We start from the raw sequence: 16,390 nt of genomic DNA, 5'->3' as shown, positions 1-16,390 counted from the left end.
GCACCACGGCAGAAATTAAAACTGAGAATTCTTTCAATACAACAAAAACCCATTACATGTTAACGTAAAGTTTGTAATGAAAAGTAACTATTTCTTTAAAAATCTAGTGAGAAGAATGGCATTTTTGCATTTTTTTTTATTTTATTTTAAGATGGAGTCTTGCTCTGTCACCCAGGCTGGAGTGCAGTGGCACAATCTCCGCTCACTGCAGCCTCTACCTCCCGGGTTCAGGCGATTCTCGTGCCTCAGCCTCTTGAGTAGCTGGGATTACAGACATGCACCACCATTCTCGGCTAATTTTTGTATTTTTAGTAGAGATGGGGTTTCACCATGTTGGCCAGGCTGGTCTCGAACTCCCAACCTCAGGTGATCTGCCCTCCTCAGCCTCCCAAAGTCCTGGGATTACAGGCGTGAGCCACCGCACCCAGCCGCATTTTTACATTTTTTAATGTTTCTTTAATATCTGGCTTAATAGAACGTGCTCGGGTTCTCATGTCTGTTTGTGCACTCAATCTGTTTGGATACACTGTTCTGGATGAAGTACATGAAGAACTCCTGGTTCCCACAGATAGCTAATTAATTATTAAAAGAGATTCCTGTGGTGCTAGGTTTTAAAAATTCCCTTTTCAGTAAGTAGAGGGTATTTATTCTCTGACAAAGTCTCAGAATCCCAAGGTTCTCAGCCCACAATTTGAAAACTGCTGCCCTAGGTATTCTGAATGTTCTGCTGTTGATGAGTGACATGTTTTAAGCAATGCTTACTTTAAAATTCGATTAAAGGCCAGGGGCTGTGGCTCACACCTCTAATCCTAGCTCTTTGGGAAGCTGAGGTGGGCTGATCGATTGAGCTGAGGAGTTCAAGACCAGTCTGGGCAACATAGTGAAACCCCATCTCTACCAAAAATACAAAAAGTTAGCTGGGTGTGGTGGCATGCACATCTAACATGAAGTACTCAGGAGGCTTAGTGGGAGGATCACTTGAGCCTGGGAGGTGGAGGTTGCAGTGAGCCGAGATTGTGCCACTGTACTCCAGCCTGGGCGACAGAGTGAGAATCTGTCTCAAAAAAATTCTATTAAAATTTACTTAACGAATCCCACAAATGAGAAGGTCTGAAAGTACATGCTCAAGTTCAGGGCTCTTTGCTGTTTAGCCACAGGATATCTGTTTGTTTTCTTCTTAGTTTATTTTGCAACCTAAATATATTTGTAGTTGCAGCCAGTTACAACTCAAGTTAATGAAACCCCTAACTAAGGATTACCATTCCACATCGGATGCAGTGATACGTTGCCTGGGATTTGTTCTCAAGCAGTTTGTGCGTAGGCAGAGATGAAGCAAGCTCAGCTCAAGCTGCTCACTGTCAGCCGACTACGGTGGCTTGCCTGTAATCCCAGCAACTTGGTGAGGCTGAGGTGGGCGGATCACCTGAGGTGGAGTTTGAGATTAGCCTGGCCAACACGGTGAAACCCCATCTCTACTAAAAAAAATACAAAAACTAGCCGGGCGAGGTGGTGTGAGCCTGTAATCCCAGCTAAACTGGAGGCTGAGGCATAAGAATCGCTTGAACCCAGGAGGTGGATGTTGCAGTGAGCTAAGATCACACCACTGCATTCCAGCCTGGGCGACAGAGTAAGACTCTTATCTAAAAAAAAAAAAAAAAAAAAAAAAAAAAAAAGTCCTCTCCTCACTGTCAAAGCTGGGTGCCAGGCACAGGAGATTCATTACTCTCTCCTGTTCTTCTGTGTGTGTGTCTGAAATTGTCCATTTAAAAAATGAATCAGTGTTTTACAGAAATCAGAAGTACTTGTTTTCACAAATCAGTACCCTTTCTTGAAATCTCATCTCAAAATATCAACTTAAATTCGAATTTAAACTTGTTTTATTACTAACCAACCACTTCAGCTGAGCCCTGCGGTGTATTTCTGAAACTTTAATTTGTGATAAGATTTGATAAAGGGTGAAAAAATACAAAGGTCCTTTAAGGTCTTGCTCTCTTACAAGTCCTTTGGGGAAGATCTAACTGGTAAGGCTGTGCTTCCTTTGTGTTAATGACAAGTGTGTCTTCGTTTCGTAGCTGGAAGCTCAGCTCAAGGACACTGTTGCTGAGGCCTCAAAGGAGTGCAGACTTCCTGAGCACATCGCGGACTTCAAGCAACAGAAAGTGAGCCTGAAGCCCTCGAGGTGGTGCTGGGTTAGAGTCTTTACTCTTACCCCAGACAGAAAGCTCATCCTTGCTGATCCCGGCACGTGGACATTGCCTTGTGTAATGTGCTGGTCCCGGCTGAGCGTTACCCAAAGCAGCTCCAGACAAGACAGGGATATGGAGAGGTGGGGAGGGACCCTGCCTTCGTGATTGTTTTCATTTTCATAGCCAAGTGTATTAGTCCATTCTCGCACTGCTATAAACAACTACCTGAGGCCGGGCGCGGTGGCCGACGCCTGTAATCTCAGCAGTTTGGGAGACCGAGGCGGGTGGAGCACCTGAGGTCAGGAGTTTGACACCAGCCTGGCCAACATGGTGAAACCCCGTCTCTATTAAAAATACAAAAATTAACCAGGCGTGGTGGTGGGCGCCTGTAATCCCAGCTACTCGGGAGGCTGAAGCAGAAGAATTGCTTGAACCTGGGAGATGGAGGTTGCAGCGAGCCGAGATTGCGCTACTGCACTCCAGCCTGGGTGACAGAAAAAAAAAAGAACTACATGAGACTGGGTAATTTATTTAAAAAAAAAAAAAAAAAAACCAACAGGTTTAATTGGCTCACAGTTCTGCAGGCTGTACCGGCTTCTGTTTCTGGGGAGGCCTCAGGAAACTTAACAATCATAGCAGAAGGGGAAGCAGGCACATCTTACATGGCCAGAGCAGGAGGAAGAGAGAGAGCGGGGAGATGCTACACACCTTTAAACAACCAGATCTCATGAGAACTCCTGACCTCGGGTGATCCACCTGGCTCGGCCTCCCATAGTGCTGGGATTACAGGCGTGAGCCACCATGCCCAACCCTATATTTTAATTTTCAAATGAAGTAATATATTTGGTCTTTTAAATAGGATGTTTTTATTCGGTTAAAAGATGCTAATCAGGCCAGCCCGGTGGCTCACCCCTGTAATCCCAGCACTCTGGGAGGCCAAGGCAGGTGGATCACCTGAGGTCAGGAGTTTGAGACCAGCCTGGCCAACATGGTGAAACCTTGTCTCTACTAAAAATACAAAAATTAGCCAGGCTTGGTGGTGGGTGTCTGTAGTCCCAGCTACTTAGGAGGCTGAGGCAGGAGAATCACTTGAACCTGGGAGGCAGAGGTTGCAGTGAGCCAAGATTGTGCCACTGTACTCCAGCCTGGGTGACAGAGCAAGAGTCCATCTTGAACAAAACAAAACAAAAACAAAAACAAAAAAGAATTAATTACCTGAAATCATTAGGTCTATCAGTTTTAGATTTAGATTTGAATTGAAATGTCACTTAAATTAGATACAATTTAAAAATCCATATCATGAACTTAGTTTGGAAAAATCTCATGACAATTAAACTTTCAAAATCTTCAAAAGAACTTCCAGTGTTAATAATGCTAGCATACCACGGGATGCCGCGTGAGCAAGTTATGTAGTGAAATTGTCTCATCTCAGCTTTGTTCCTTGTGGATAAACTCACATGCCAGAGGGTGTGGTCAGGGCTATGAATTACAGGTGAGGCCAAGTGACCTCCCACTGCTGGTGGTCACTGTGACTTGTCAGACTCCACCTGCCCATGCAGTCACCACTTTAGCCAAGGATGCCAAGGGCAGTGGTGCTTGGGTAGGCGGCCAGCTGGGAGTGGAGTGGGGGTCTGTGTAGAGACAGGAGGGGTGATGGGATCCAGGAGTAAGAACCACGGGAACCTCTGGACCAGACAGAGTGCATTTTTTTCTTTTTCTTTTTTTTTGAGACAGAGACTCACTCTGTTGCCCAGGCTGGAGTGCAGAGGCGCTGTCTTGGCTCACTCTACCTCCCAGGTTCAAGTGATTTTCCTTCCTCAGCTTCCCGAGTAGCTAGGACCACAGGCACGTGCCACCATGCCCGGCTAATTTTTTGTATTTTAAATAGAGACGGGGTTTCACCGTGTTAGCCAGGATGGTCTCGATCTCCTGACCTCGTGATCCTCCTGCCTCAGCCTCCGAAAGTGCTGGGATTACAGGCGTGAGCCACCGCGCCCGGCCCAGAGTGCACTTTTTAAATAAAGAACTTGTAAGTAGAGTCTGAATCCTATGGAATATGTCTTCACCCCACTATTCATTTCTTTGTTATTATAGACCAGCTGAGCTAGTGAGCAAGAAACACAAGCACTGAAGCTGGAAGCGTCTGCATCAATTTCTGTGGCTGCCAGCACAGAACCGCAGGAAGTAAGACAGCGTTGTCCTACTGATGCTCTCACCTGGGGTCTGCCCTCATGTCCAGGTGACACAGCTGCCCTTGGTGACCAGAAGCCACTCACCTGGTCCCTGCATGCCAGCTTGCAGTGAGGACATCTGTCCAGGCATGAGAGCCCACCTTCCATTTTGAGAATTACTGTCAGTACCTCAGTTAGATAATCTAGGCTTCTGCAATCATACTGAAGTGTAATATCCATACAACAAATTGCACAAATCACAGCATGTAACTTGCTGAATTTTTACACAGTGAATATGCCCCAAAAACCAATACCCAGTTCTAGAAATAGAACATTAGCAGCCCCTCAGAAGCCCCTCAGGAGGCTGCTTTCTCCTTTCCTGACACTAGCATTCCTTGACTTTATTCTGCTTTCTAGCACTGTAGGTTAATTTTACTTGTTTTTAAACTTTATGTAAGTGGGGTTGTAAATTATATGTTCTGTGCCTGTCTTCTTTTGCTGCAACATTAGGAGTCATCCACATTATTGTATCTGGCAACACTTTGTTCATTCCCATAACCTATGGTATTTTACTAGATAAATATGCTACACTTTACTTATCCATTGTACTTCTGGTGAATATTTGTGGCATTTCAAAATTTGGGATATTACAAATAATAAAGGAATAAGCATTTTTACATGTCTTTCGGTGGACATATGCAGGCTTTTCGCACACTTTTAAAAAACTGTATAATAAACACCCTGTTTTGCAAGAAGTTCACATGCCAATTCATGTAGAGTTGCTTGAGTCTGTAACAACTGAATAGAGGTTAATTGTATGATGTATTGTAATATGTTTCCCTGTTGGTCATTTAGTCATGTGGCAGAAACCACTAGTTGTTTGCTAAAATTCATTCTCTGTTTCCTCTATGGTAAGGACCCTCCACATTTTAAGCTAGGCAGATGGCTGCCCAGAATAAAGACTACCAATAAAGGTGCAATCATGTTCCTAAGTTCTTAGTAACAGGATGTAGTAGAAATATGGCATGGCAGATTCCAAGATCTTTCCTAAAGGGACACACTTTGCTTTCCTATCTCCCTTCCTCATTGCTGTGTATAAACATATACTGCCATCTTCCACCTTGGGGTTGCGGCTCATACAGTGGCCACAAGACAGAAGGAACCTGGGCCCTGATAAAATCAAGTGTTATATTTACCTTAGACTGCCTATGCAGGTTTTGACAAGAGCTACAATGGTTTTTCTACCACTCATAACTGACATAAATTATAACATACAAGTTAGTTTCCAATTTTTGATATTGTACACTATATAGCAGTGAACATTGTGCAATATATCTTTATTTTTTGGAAATGTATAATAGTTTACTGTTGTAATTCATTTATAACATGTGTTGGACAACTTAGCTAATATGTTAATTGATTTATACAATTCCTTTCAATTTTATCTAAAAATAGCAGACCAAAATTAAATAAGAAAGTTACATAAGATTCCATTTGAGCATACATAAGGCCATGATACTTTAATGTGAACCACCATTTCTTGGAAGAAAGAAGACATCCAAATGTCCGATTCAGAGAGAAAGTTCCTGGCCAGTCATCCAGTAGACTCTCTCCACTCTTCAATGTGAAGGTGATGCTTATATTTTTAAAAATCTCTACAAAGCTCACATACAACAAGACAGTACATCCTGGATTTGTGACTGATATGAGCATTTAAGCCTGTCATTTTCAAGTATAAAAGTTTAGTGTTCCATTACCCAATCTGTGCAGTAGACACAGCTATAAACTCAAGTCATGTGAATTAACAGAAGCCCACCAAAGACATTTAAAAAATTATGATTTAGGCAACAGCAAGTTTAAATGTAGGAAAGGCTAGAAAAAAAATGTGTAGATGAGATTGTTTCTCTAAAATGCATTAGGTTGTTCACAATGAAGCTTTGTCTAACACCATTATCTGATGCATGGCATATGCAATAAGGCAGATCCACAGCAGACCAAACAAGGAAGCTGAATTAGGTAATAGAACTAGTAATTAAGATGGTTCACCTCTAACACAGTTCTGCGGCCTGTTCCCCCCAGAGAAAGATTAGAAAAGGCTCCAGTGTACCAAATAAGCTTCACAGAAGAACATGAAAATTTTTCTCCAACTTTTTTTTTTGAAGCGGAGCCTGTCACTTAGGGACCAACTGCTTGTAGATGAAATAAATCAACATTAATTACTTCTAGCCTAATGTAATATGGCTGGAGAAAATGGGTCTCCCGAAGCCGGTATTTTGTTTAACTTACATTCTAGGTGTGTATGTAAGTTGTCGCTCTATAACTTCTGCTGTGGTTCCAACATCCATATCTGAAAGGTGGAAGCAGCTGCTCTGTTACAATTTTCATGTAACATGCTTGGATTCTAGGTCTTTCCTCTTTAACACAACTTAAAGAAAGTTTCTTGTGGTTTGGTCAGCATACACACTTCTCATTTCATTTGATGTACACAGCCAAAGTGGGAATTAAAAAAAAATTACCATCTAGTTCAGAGAGCTAAATTGAGTCCAGCATTATGGCAAAGTCTGACCCAAAATTTTAATTTGTAATTTTAGCATGTGTCTCATGCACTTTGGGGAGCGTCAAACTAAATCTACAATTGCCCGAAGCCTTGTTACAGTTTAATACACACTAACTAAAATGTGTACATTTTTAGTGTTCATGATAAATGCAGTTATGACCTTATTACACTTTAGGCATTCTTTAAGAAAGCACATTAAGCTTTAATATAGAAATATTTAGGTTACACTTGTGCTCAAGTAATAATAAAACATTTGTTCTTTTTTGATCTCATACATTCTCTCCTCAGGTATGGCCCATCTCCTGTACGCTTGGAGCGACCTTTGGCTATGTGGCTGGCCTTGTTATTTCACCACTCTGGATATACTGGAATAGAAAGCAACTTACATACCAGAACAATTAACCGGAACAAAGGGAGATATTTCTTTGTGCAGATTCTGTAAGGGCTGTGCAGAAATGTGTATGGTCAAAGCCAAGCAGTTCCATTTACAGCTCTGTTTTTTATGTAGTTACAACATGATGTGATTGTAGCTTTTTAAACTATGAAACCTCTGAGAGATTGTACCTTCTAGTTGAAATAAAGTATTTATAATAGATTGTGGCTTCAGATACTGCTTACTGCTTCTTAAACCTTTAAGGAACATTCTTAATAAACTTTATAGAATTCTGAGGACAGGTTTTGTTTTCTTTCAAGTTTTGAACTGCTTCATTACCTATAAAAGGTCTGGGTATAGCTGTAGCATTTCATTTGCTTTCTCAGAGAAATGGCCAGTTTCCTTGGCCACTGAAGATGTTTCTCACGTAATTAAACAACAGTTTATACATCTTGATCCTATTCTTTTTTTTTACAGTGTGTTTCTTTGGAGTTAAAATGGCTATGATAGCCTCATCAAAAACAGTCTTCAATCCCTTCTGGGTTAAAGCTGAACATTCCACATAGCAGCATGCTCCTATCTCTTTTGCTAGTTTCTGTCCTTGTTCCACACATATAGGTTTTTCTTTCATATCCTTCAGTCTTGCTAAAGTTTTGGGGTCATCTCGGAGATCAATCTGAGTTCCTATTAATAAAAAGGGTACATTTGGTGCGTATTCCTTAAGTTCCGGTACCCACTCCTCTTTCACATTTTGAAATGAGGCTGGATTTACCACCGAGAAGCATATAAGGAAGACGTCGGTCACTGGGTAAGATAAAGGCCTCAGACAGTCATAGTCTTCCTGTCCGGCCGTGTCATAGAGTCCTAGGAGGTACTGCTTGCCCCCCACGGTGACGCTGACTACGTAGTGGTCGAAGACGGTGGGCAGGTACTCCTCCGGGAAGGCTTCGTTGGCATAGCTCATGAGTGGGCACGTCTTGCCCACCGCTCCGTCGCCGACCACCACGCACTTGAGCATCAGCGCGCCAGGCCCGTGAGCCATGCTGCTGCCCGCCGGCCTCCGGGCATGGTCCCCCCGGAGCCCCCGCCCCGGCCCCGGGCTCAGCCCCGGCCCGCCTGGGGGGTCCGCCGCCGTCGCCGCCGCTCTGCGCCGCAGGGCCGCCCCCCGACCGGCCCCATCCAGCGGCTCCCCTCGCCGGAGGGGAGGGGGCCGCGGGCCCGGGGCGCTGCCGCCTCCGCGGTCGCCGCCAGGATCCCCGCCCCGGCCCCGGTCGCCGCGCCCGCCCGCTGCCCCCGCCACTCGGCGCCCGCGCCCTCTCCCCGGCCTGGCCAACCCAGGAGGATCCGCCGGATCATAAGCATCTTTTTTTTTTTTTTTTTTTTTTTGTGGAGTTTCGCTCTTGTTGTCCAGGCTGGAGTGCAATGGCACAATCTCGGCTCACCGCAACCTCCGCCTCCTGGATTCAAGCGATTCTCCTGCCTCAGCCTCCCAAGTAGCTGGGATTGCAGGCATGCGCCACCACGTCCAGCTAATTTGGTATTTTTAGTAGAGATGGGGTTTCTCCATGTTGGTCAGGCTGGTCTCAAACTCCTGACCTCAGGTGATCCGCCCACCTCAGCCTCCCAAATTGCTGGGATTACAGGCATAAGCCACTGTGCCCAGCCTATCTTTTATCTTTTTATATGTCTATTTTATATAAAAAAAATTCTACAGGTGGAATTGCTAGGTCAAAAACTAAGAACACTTTTGGCCAGGCACGGTGGCTCACGCCTGTAATCCCAGCACTCTGGGAGGCTGAGGCAGGCAGATCACCTTGAGGTCAGGAGTTCGAGACCAGCCTGGCCAACATGGTGAAACCGTCTCTACTAAAAATACAAAAATTAGCCAGGCGTCAGGGTGTGCGCCTATAATCCCAGCTACTGGGGAGGCTGAGGCAGGAGAATCGCTTGAACCCGGGAGGCGGAGGTTGTAGTGAGCCGAGATCGTGCCATTGCACTCCAGCCTGGACAACAAGAGTGAAACTCCATCTCAAACAAACAAAAAAACTAAGAACACTTTATAGATACAGCCCAATGTTTGTTCCTCCAAAATTACATTAACACTGACATAAGTGACATTTCTGTCTTAAAGACACTGGGTTCAAATTGTTAAACCTCTTATGTGTAAAAGAGAAACCAACAAAACAAAACAAAAGAACCAATGATCAAACCCTAATTATCTGTTTCACATCTTTGTTGTGGGAAGAAAGTTGAGCAGCTTTTCATTTGAAGAGCCTACTTTTCTCTCTTTTTTTGTGACTTGTCTGTTGAAATGCTTTGCCTACTATTCCATTGCAGAAGGTTTTTATAATGATTTTAATCAATATTTATAATATAGCTTTTCCCTTAATTTTGTTTTGATTAGCTTTACATTTTTTGATACATAGTAGAGCAAATCTTTTCACATTCTTATCGAATATAAGGTATTCATATACATTTTTCTTTCAAAAGAAATCTGAAGTGAAGCACTGACGTTCCAAAAAAAAAAAACAATAATTTGATTAAAATTTTATTAAACATATTTAGTTTGGAGGAGGCTGAGATAATCAAGATATAAATAATGCTGGATATTCTCATCTAGTCAGATGATGTCTCTCCATTAATTAACTCTTGTAGTCCAAGTAACATTCTGTAGATTTATCCGCATAGGGAATACTCACTTTTTCTAAGTGTATATCAAGATATTTTAGAGTTTTCAATGTGAATAGAAACTTTTTGCTTGTACAAATTCAATTTGATTCAGTTTGATTCATGAGAATTCTTTTGAGTTTCATTTTATCTTTTATCTGTCCTCTTAACTCATTGTTTTTATTAATTTTTAATTTCATTTTCTGAAAATTATATCAGTGGCTGTGTAATTGATGTTTCATTCTAATATGTATATTTCATTTTTCCTGTCATATTGCACTGGGAATAAAACCTGAACAGTACTGAATACTCTCAGTGAAAGTAGTCATGCTTTTTCTCTTACCAACAGAAATTCCTTTAGTAATTCATCAAGATGTTTAATGTAGAATTCTTTAAAAAATCAAAACCACAATGAGATACCATGTCACGTCAGTTAGAATGGCGATCATTAAAGAGTCAGAAAACAACAGATGTTGGAGAGGATGTAGAGAAATAGGAACACTTTTACACCGTTGGTGAGGCTGTAAATTAGTTCAGCCATTGTAGAACACGGTGTGGTGATTCCTCAAGGATCTAGATCAAGAAATACCATTTGACCCAGCAATCCCATTACTGGGATTATAAGGATTTACATTTCCAAAGGATTATAAATCATTTTACTATAAAGACACATGCACATGTTTGTTCATTGCAGCACTATTCACAGTAGCAAAGACTTGGAACCAACCCAAATGCTCATCAATGATAGACTGGATAAAGAAAATGTGGCACATATACACCATGGAATACTACACAGCCATTAAAAAGGATGAGTTCATGTCCTTTACAGGGACATGGATGAAGCTGGAAACCATCATTCTCAGCAAACTAACACAGGAACAGAAAACCAAATACTGCATGTTCTCACTCATAACTGGGAGGTTAACAATGAGAACACATGGACACAGGGAGGGGAACATCACACACTGGGGCCTGTCAGGGGTTGGGGGGCTAGGGGAGGGATAGCATTAGGAGAAATACCTAATGTAGATGATGGGTTGATGGATGCAGCAAACCACCATGGCACATGTATACCTATGTAACAGACCTGCACATTCTGCACATTTATCCCAGAACTTAAAGTATAATTTTTAAAAAATCAAATTAAGATATTATAAAGTTTTTAGATGTTTGTCTTACTTCAATACTTTTTTTCTTTAGTTTACCATGTAACCATCCAAAACTAAATCATCCCCCACCTCAGTTAGGCATCTTAGCGTAAGTCCAGTTACTCAGAAGTCTCAGCTTTGCTTCCTCTTCCCCTACAACCCACTTTTAGAATGTAAGCAAGTCCTCTCCTGGTTTTCTTTTCTCCATTCCTACATCTTAGTTAAAGCTTTTACATCTTCACCATGCAGACCACAAAGACCACTAAAAATGAGATAGATAATAGACACAGGCTCCCATTTCTGGGTTCTGGGACCAAAGTTGAAATCAAAAGCGCAGCATAATGCTATTAATTGGTAGTGTGTTTGGGCCTTATTGAAAGAGCCTAACTCAAGTCTTGAGACAGAAATTGAAAATAATCATACAGGAAAATACTGTAGAACTCAGTAGTCCAGAAAGCTCTATTACAGGCTGGGCACTGGCTTATGCCTGGCTCATGCCTGTAATCCCAGAACTTTGGGTGGCTGAGGCAGGTGGATCATCTGAGGTCAGGAGTTCGAGACCAGCCTGCCAACATGGTGAAACCCCGTCTCTACTAAAAACCCCAAAATCAAGCCAGGCATGGTAGCATGCACCTGTAATCCCAGTTACTCCGGAGGCTGAGGCAGGAGAATCACTTGAACCCGGGAGACGGAGGTTGCAGTGAGCCGAGGTAGCATCATTGTACTCAAGCCTAGTCGACAGAGTGAGACTCTGTCAACAAAGAAAGAAAGGAAGAAAGAAAGGAAGGAAGGAAGGAAGGAAGGAAGGAAGGAAGGAAGGAAGGAAAGGAAAGCTCTATTACAGAAAGCAATGTGAATTGGAATTGCTTTATGGTCATAAAGGTAATATTTTGGCCACTCTGAGGGATGTTCCAGGCAATAGTTTCAGTCTTACTCTACCTACATAGCCCTTTCAGGTCAGCAAAAAGGGTCAAAAAACCAGCCAGTGTTCAGAATGAACATGCATTTGAGATTTGTGAGAAGGAGAACTCACATCTAAAGTCTAGAAGAACAGGTCCTAGGTGTTCTGGCCGTAATTCATTGGTTACTGATACCATATGATTGCAATGACATTCTATGTTGTAAGGGCAATGCTTGCTGCCAAGACACAAAACCTTGTACAAAGCTTTCTGGTTTTGGCCCCTCGTTTAACAAAGATATAATTCTGGTTATTTTCTTTCTTTTGTTTTGTTTTTTTTTTTTTCTTTTTATTCCTCCCAGAGCCTTGCCATTTCTTCCCCACGCCCCTCCGCCCCCGTCCCCCGCTTTTTTTTTTTTTTTTTAAGATGGAGTGTCGCTCTGTCACCAGGCTGGAGTGCAGTGGTGCGATCTCGGCTCAGGGCAACCTCTGACTCCCTAGTTCAAGCGATTCTCCTGCCTCAGCCTCCCGAGTAGCTAGGATTACAGGCACACGCCACCATGCCCAGCTAATTTTTGTATTTTTAGTAGAGACGGGGTTTCACCATGTTGGCCAGGATGGTCTCAATCTCCTGACCTCGGGATCTGTCGCCTCGGCCTCGCAAAGTGCTGGGATTACAGGCGTGAGCCACTGTGCTCGGCAGCCATTTCTTCCTTTAATCTCCAGCTGTTTCACCCCAAGATGGTCAAGACAACTTTTTTATTTTTATATTTTATTATTATTATTTTTGAGACGGAGTCTCGCTGTCGCCCAGGCTGGAGTGCAGTGGTGCAATCTCGGCTCACTGCAAGCTCCGCCTCCTGAGTTCACGCCATTCTCCTGCCTCAACCTCCGGAGTAGCTGGGACTACAGGCGCCCGCCACCACGCCCGGCTAATTTTTTTGTATTTTTAGTAGAAACGGGGTTTCACCGTGTTAGCCAGGATGGTGTCGATCACCTGACCTCGTGATCCGCCCGCCTCGGCCTCCCAAAGTGCTGGGATTACAGGCGTGAGCCACGGTGCCCGGCCAAGATTGCAAGAAGATAGGAAGTAACACTTTGTCCTCTAATTTATCTCATAGGTGAAACTTTACTTCTTTCTTTTTTCTAAGAAGTACCACCAGAATATAATCCTAAAATTTAATGGTTGAGAGACTTGACTATAGAATTTGCTTTCTGTTGATGTTATAGGGGCTTCCTTCTAACTCAGTTGAATTTACTCTGAAAATGGCAAATGGTTCCCCCACCTACCCAAGGATGGAAGAATAAGTTATAAGTTGCATTCACTTGCTGAAGATAACTTAAGTATTTAGAATTGCGATGATGTGCTGAACTCAAATAGTTGAAACAAGTAACTTCTGGGGCAGCAGGTACTTATGTCAGCCATTGGCTTATTCCTTGATGCCAATGTTTTGGCTTTGTTTGGTGAACTGGTGGTTGACTTGATCCTTACTTGCTATTCAGACTGCCTCTGATCTTTCTGAGAGCCAGAACCATCTGGATGGTTCATTTGACATTGGTCAGAAAGGTCCTTAATCTTTAAATACACCAGTTCAAGCACAGAGTCATAAGATGAGATGGGGAGATGAAAGGTGGCTCACTTTGGGAGGCTGAAGTGGGTGGACAGCTTGAGCCCAGGAGTTCGAGACCAGCCTGGGCAACATGGGGAAACCTCATCTCTATGAAAAACTACAAAAAATTAGCCAGACTTTGTGGTGCATGCCTGTATTCCCAGCTACCCAGGAGGCTGAGGTGGGAGGATCTGAGCCTGGAAGGCCGAGGCATCAGTGAGCTGTGGTTGCATCACTGCACTACAGCCTGGGCAACAGAGTGAGACCCTGTCTCAAAAAAAAAAAAAAAAAAGACCAACAAAACAAAAAAAATTCAAATAGGCCCCTCCAAGGAGCAACCATTTGTCTACAAGGAATAAGGAGACTTCTACATCTTGGCAGTACTTGAAGACGGTGGGAAATTATCACGTCACATTCTGTTACAGTTTGGGGGCTACTCCAAAAGAAATTTCTTAATGCAACACTTTCACAAGAAAAGATAATGTGCTACTAGTGCTACCATTGTATGAGTGAGAGAAGGGGAGTGATTAATGTGTTACAGCCTCTTCTCACTAGTATCTAAGAACATGAAATTCATGCAGCACACCCTTCCCTCTCCCAGCCACTTGGAATCAGTCCTTCACCATGTCCTTATTCACTTCACAAATTATCCATATGCATTGTGGTTACGATAGAAAGTGTAGATAAGAAAAGATACTTTACTGATGTCATAACTCATATAATTTCAAGTGTCTTACAGGGTCAAGTGTTCTTGTTCCAGTTATAATTGCTGCATAACAAACCACCCCAATCTCAGTGCCATACAATTGTATTAAAATAACAACATTTGTATTCCCAGATTTTATGGGTCAGGAGTTTAGTCTGGACACAGGGCAGACTGCTTATATGTCTGCTATGTCACATCTGGGGCATTTGCTTGGAAGACTCAAAGTTTAGGTGTGACAGCAGCTGGGAACAGGAATCACCTGTGTGTATCTTCATTCACATACCTGGTAGTTGATGCTGATTATTGGCTGGGACCTCAGATGGACTACTGGCCAAAGTGCCTCTGCACAGCCTCTGCACACGGGTTATTCTGTCCTCCTCACAGCATGTACAGCAGATGGGTTCTAAGAACAAATGTCCTAAGTAGGCAAGGCAGAAGTGCAAGGTGTTCTTACCATCTAGCTTGGAGGGCACCATGGCATTACTTCCATTATACTCTATTGGTCAAAATAGTTACAAAATTCTGCCCAGCATGACACTACAGGTTTTTCTTTGGGGGCTCAGAATAAAAAGGCAGAACAGCCTCTGCCTGTTTATCTCTTATTCTTTTGCGGGAGTTTTGTGTTACATACAAATAAAAATTTAGAGATATTGTCGTATTTCCCAGCTACCGAAGTCAACTGTGAAGAAGAGGCATTTACATCCCTCTATAGCAGTACTAAGAAGAGAGGTATCCTTGACTAAATAAGCAAGGCAAGATTACTCTTTCCAGACTCTAATTTGGGAGTTAGCAGATAGAACATCAGGCAGAAGTTCCTCTGTTGGTGTCACCTACAAAGCAACAAGCTTGAGAACTCTGTGTTCCAACTTGGGAGCTAGTCAGTCTCCCAGAGTGGGGGTATTTGGAGAGCAGGCTTGTGAAGAAGGCCAAGGAAACAGAAAGGACAGCTCTTAGGATACACTTTACTGAAGATATATCACTCAGACAAGATGCCCAGAAAGTTCAGGATTAACAAAGGTCTAGAGTCTTGTAACTCACTTCCTATGGAAGTTTATTGTGAACAACAACAGTAACAAAGCAGCCTCAATTCTCTAATCCTGCAGAGGGCTAAAGAACACCTATTACTCCCTGGAGCTTAATAGAGATGAAATCTTAGGATATAACTGCAGTATACATGCTGAGGATGACCAGGAAGATGGTTATAATTGTTATACCCTAGTTTAGGTGAAAACTACATGTAAGATATTGTGAGGTCCTTGAGTGGTTAGATGACTAAGGTATTAGTCATCCTGGAAGAAAATCTGGATCGATTAAATGTCAGATGAATTAGATGCACTAAAAATAAAAAGAGAAGCCAGAAAGTTGTCCTAGTAATAACCAGTCCATCCTTGCTTAGCACAGCTCCAATATTACGCAGATTTCAGTTACCACAGTTTAGTCCAATGACACCAGTCCCCCAACAACACAGTTCTGGTATCAGTTGCTATGGTCTATTAACTGTGAATAATTGCATAAAGGAGAAACTTCACTGCTAGACCTTCAACCCATAAATTGCTGCATGTATACCAGAGGCGCATTATGATCAGTGACCAATCATGTCACTTCTTTCAATATCTATTGGTGATTGGTCACCACACATCTTTTTTTTTTTTTTTTTGACACGGAGTCTTGTGTCTCGCTCTGTCACCAGGCTGGAGTGCAGTGGCACAATCTCGGCTCACTGCAACCTCTGCCTCCTGGGTTCAAGTGATTCTCCTGCCTCAGCCTCCCAAGTAGCTGGGACCGCAGGCAGGTGCCACCATGCCCAGCTAATTTTTGTATTTTTAGTAGAGACAGAGTTTCACCATGTTGGCCAGGATGGTCTTGATCTCTTGACATCGTGATCCACCCACATCAGCCTCCCAAAGTGCTGGCATTACAGGTGTGAGCCACCGCGCCCGGCCCCACATCTTTTATTCAATTCACACACTGGCAGCAAACCATGAAGCTGTGTTTTTTCCTTTTCTTCCAGTGATAAGCCTGCATAACATTTTCAAAAATGGCTAATCAAAAGAGAAAACTGGCCAACAGTGAA

General features: G+C 42.9%; 1 pseudogene; it reads right to left on the bottom strand.

Annotated features, from left to right (window-relative positions):
* RHOQP2 (ras homolog family member Q pseudogene 2) lies at positions 5,702–8,646 on the bottom strand (annotated as a pseudogene).

This window comes from Homo sapiens, chromosome 2 (genome assembly GCF_000001405.40).
Source record: "Homo sapiens chromosome 2, GRCh38.p14 Primary Assembly".
Lineage (NCBI taxonomy): Eukaryota > Metazoa > Chordata > Mammalia > Primates > Hominidae > Homo > Homo sapiens.
Note: the sequence above shows the minus strand (reverse complement) of the source record. Positions and strands in the feature narration are given on the sequence as shown.